Source organism: Homo sapiens, chromosome 10 (genome assembly GCF_000001405.40).
Source record: "Homo sapiens chromosome 10, GRCh38.p14 Primary Assembly".
NCBI lineage: Eukaryota > Metazoa > Chordata > Mammalia > Primates > Hominidae > Homo > Homo sapiens.
In genome coordinates, this window is record NC_000010.11 from 86,628,384 (window position 1) to 86,632,882 (window position 4,499).

Consider the following 4,499-nt stretch of genomic DNA (forward strand, 5'->3'; position numbering starts at 1 on the left):
TCTTTTCCCATACATTCTTTAATATATTTATAATACTTTAAAATTCTTGTGGGCCAATTTCAACACTTGTGTCATTTGTTGGTCTGCTTCTAGTGACAATCTCCCTCTATATTGTAGGTCACATTTTTCTGCTTTTTATCATTGCTGGCAAGTTTTTATTGCCTTCTAAATATGTGGTTGATACATTTTAGAGACTTTGAATTCTTCCATCTTCCGCTTGAGAATTTTTTTTGTTCTTGGAGGAAGTTTAATCACAAGCACATCATTTTGATCCTGCGGAAACTTGATTTTAGACTTTTCAGGGCAGGTCTATTTCAATTTTGCCTTTAGTACTCAGGCATAGTCCTTAGTCCTGGAAGTAGCCGTTACTCTTAGGTGTGTCCTTTCTGGGGTTTTAATGGAAAGCCAAAGTGTTTACCAAGTTTTTCCTTTTTAAAAAGTAATTAAGTTTTTTTGCCAGGCACAGTGGCTCATGCCTATAATCCCAGCCCTTTGGGAAGCTGAGGTGGGTGGATTGCTTGGAGCCAGGAGTTCGAGACCAGCCTGGGCAACATGATGAAACCTCATCTCTACAAAAAAATATATAAAAATTAGCTGGGCGTGGCCAGGTGTGGTGGCTCACGCCTGTAATCCCAGCATTTTGGGAGGCCGAGGCGGATGGATCATGAGGTCAGGAGTTCAAGACCAGCCTGGCCCATATATAGTGAAACACTGTTTCTACTAAAAATACAAAAATTAGCTGGGCATGGTGGGGCACACCTGTAGTTCCAGCTGCTTGGGAGACTGAGGCAGAAAAATCGCTTGAACCCGGGAGGCAAAGGTTGCAGTGAGCCGAGATCATGCCACTGCACTCCAGCCTGGGCAACAGAGCAAGACTCTGTCTCAAAAAAAAAAAAAAAATTAGCTGGGCGTGGTAGTACACACTTATAGTCCCAGCTACTTGTGAGGCTGAGGCAGGAGGATCACTTGAGCCTGGGAGGTGGAGGTTGCAGTGAGCTATGATCACACCTCTGCACTCTAGCCTGGGTAACAGAGCAAGACACTGTCTCAAAATAAATAAATATTAAAAATTGACAAAAATTATATGTATTTATCATGTATAACATGATATTTGGAATATGTACAGATCCTTTCTGTAGGAGATGAAAGAAAATAAAAGAAATATGTATACATTGTAAAATGGCTAAATTGAGCTAATAAACTTTTATATTACCTCATATACTTATCATCTTTTTTTGGTGAGAACACCTAGAATCTATTCTCTTAGTGATTTTCAAGAATATAATACTGTACTTTGTGACTAACTATAGTCTCCACATTGTAAATAGATCTCTTGAACTGCTTCCACCTGTCTAACTGAAACTTTGCCTCCTTTGATAACCATGTTCCTTACCCCCACGTCCACCTCCCAAGATCATCTAATGTGAATTGATCATTCAATAAATGTTGTTAAACACTTAAAGAGCTGATTCTGATCTATTTTTATAAGAGATATCACTTTCGCCAAAATCTCGGATATTAACTTAGAGCAAAGATTTAATAGTTTTAAAAAATCAGCCATAACAAAATAACAAAAACAATAATATAAACAAAACCAAACCTACCAATCAAGAAATTATAGAGTCTATTTTCATAATTTCATAGACTGCCCAAGCATTTCAGCAAAACAAAGCCACACTGAAAAATATTGACAAGTTTGTATGCATAAAACTGTAAATCTTGTTTATGGGAAAAAATGCAATAAGCAGAGTTAAAATTTAAATGACAAGCCAGGAAAAAATATTTGTGATTGTGTATGACAAACAAGAAGTTAATATTACTTGATGGGATCTGAGCTCTGCACTGTTTCTCTAGCACTGGGCAGCTGTTGAAACCTCTTGTCAGTGCTTGCTTTCCTCTGGATTCCTTGGAGTCTTGCCCTGTACTGGTGCAGCTTAGGAGTCAGCCAAGAATTCGAGACGAGTTATATACAGATTTGGGGGTTCTCCCTCTGTTGGTCTCTTCTTTCTGGAATTCCTCCCCACCTCCTCAATTTCAGCTGCTCTGGAAGCCCTGATTCTGGCCTGATTCTTCATCCCAGCCTGTTGGCCTCTTTCTGCTGGAGTTGTATCCACACCTCACCCCACTCCCACCTACACCACTCCAGACCCCCAGCACCGCAGAGTCTTGGGGGTAACCTCAGTTACTGATCAAAATCAGTTCTTTAAATGTTTAACATTTATTGAATAATCAATCCTTTATTCACAGTTTAAAAGTGTAGCTCTATCATATTTAGGTGACTAGATGTGCTGATTTGTTTCTGATGTCTGTTCGTTCTGTTCCCTTAATCTGTTTATTTATCCTTCTGCTAGTCTCACAATGTTTTATTACAGTAATTTTCTTGAAGGAAAATTTGTATTATTTTAATTATTTTTATGTACAGAAAACTCAACAGTGTATATTTAACCCAGTTTAATGGCAAATTCTTTAGCCTTTGCCTTTTTGAGCTTGGCGATGCGAACCACAGACTTGGGACCCAGGACATTGCCGCCCCAGTGATGGCGGATCTCATCGTATCTGTCGTTGTAATTGGTCCTGATAGTTTCCACCAGCTTAGCCAAAGCGCCTTTGCCTTCCGAGTTAACCTGTGTGAAGGCGACAGTGGTGCAGGTCTTCCTGTGGACTAGATGGCCCAGTCTTGCCTTCCCCTTGATAATGGAGTAAGGGACCCCCATTTTACGACACAGGGCAGGCAAGAAGACAACCACCTCAATGGGATCCATGTCTTGTGCAATCACCATCGGCTGGGCTTTCTTGTTCTCCACCAAGGTGGTGACGGTATTAACTCCTGCTTGAAAGACAGATGGTTTCTTAGTGGGGACGTCCCCTTTGCCAGCAGCTTTCTTCTCAGCCAGGGCCAACAGCCTCTGCTTCTTCTCTTGCTTTGTCTCTGGTCTGTACTTGTGAGTAGATGTTTGGTGGTCCAGGGCCTGGGTGAACTGGTTAATCGCAGAAGGCACTTTCAGCTGCTTACAGAGGATGGCTCTCTGCCTCTGCAACCTGATGTAGCGGGGCCATTTCACAAAGCGGGTGAGGTCTCTTTTGGGCTGGATGTCCCGTCCAATGACAAAATTCTTAGGCCTTTTCTCAAACGGGGGATTCACCACTTTCTTGGCCTCCTGCTTCTTCACGACAGCAGGGGCCGGAGCCACCTTCTTCCCTTTGGCCTTCTTTCCTTTCGGCATCTTGGGCGGCAGGAGGAGAGACTATTACAATAATTTTATGGTACTTATTTATTTGTGTCTGGAAAGACACGGGCCTCTGCTTGTTCTTTTTTTTTTTTTTTTTTTCCCTAAAATTTCTCCAGGGTTTGCATGTATTTAACCCTGAAGATCACATTTACAATTAACTTCTCAGGTTACAGACACTGTTTGTGCTTATGTTCATACTGCATTAGATGAAAGGTTATTTTGAGAACCTGGATACAGTACGGTGCTTTGGAACTCGTGGGAGAGTACAGGGGACCGGATGGGCGCAGCGAGGTTGCAGGGGGCTTCCACTGCTGTGGTTCCGGCAGCAAAGCCTATTTAATGGGATCCACCACTTCTCTAAGGCACCTGCCCTCCTCGTTAGCCCGCGGCCGCAGACTCCAAGGCCCCGGGATAGCTGGGGTCAGAGAAATGCAGGGCTCTGGCCAGAGGGGCCCTCGGCAGCGCCCTTCGGTTCCCGTGAGGCCCAGGCAGCGGTTCCAGGCCTCCCGCTAGGGCCGCTCTCAGACTGGAGGGCGCGGAGGATACAGGGAGCCGTTTGCCTGGGTTCGCGCTCGGCTGTCCTAGCTCACGGGGCGACCTCGGAAACGTCCAGCGTCTGCCCTGTCCCCCTGCGCCGCGTCTGAGCAGCCAGCCCCGGGCCAAAGGGTCGCGTTGGTTGGGGCGTGGGGCAGCTGGAGGGCTGCAGGTCCCCAGCGCCGCCTCCCGGGCAAGGGGCGGAGGCGCGGATCGCTGAAGTCAGCCCGCCCCTGGTTCCGCGCCCTGGAGCCCGAGTGCGTCCCAGGGCCCGCCGCACACTGCGCTGGCCCGCGGCCAGTCCCCCAGCCTGCGGCTCCAAGATGCGCTTAACGCCGTCTCTCATACCCCAGAACCCTCCTTAGAAACAGGCTTACCCTGCCACCCATTCCCCATCCCCCCACACACCCCTGCAGGGCCAGCCTCAGGGGTGCATGGATTTATTCCGCAGGTGCAGCAGGAACAGAGGTCAAAAAGCTGACATCCTGGAAGGATGCCTTCCTATGTCAGGAACACTGTTACCTAAGCCCAGCTTTCCAATAGTTTTATCATCATGGCATACAGAAACCATGATAGTCTATGTAAAACACACTACGGCTAAGCTGATGAGGCTTTGCAGAGGGCCAGGGAGCACAGGCCCAGGGTCTTCAGCTACTTCCAGCCATGCCCAGTTCCAGGAGGGCTAAGGAACTCAATTTCTGAGCTCCTGAGCCCACTTGGGAAAGCTCTTGCCTG

General features: G+C 46.4%; 1 pseudogene; it reads right to left on the reverse strand.

Moving 5' to 3' along the window:
* On the reverse strand, window positions 2,382-3,245 carry RPL7AP8 (ribosomal protein L7a pseudogene 8; annotated as a pseudogene).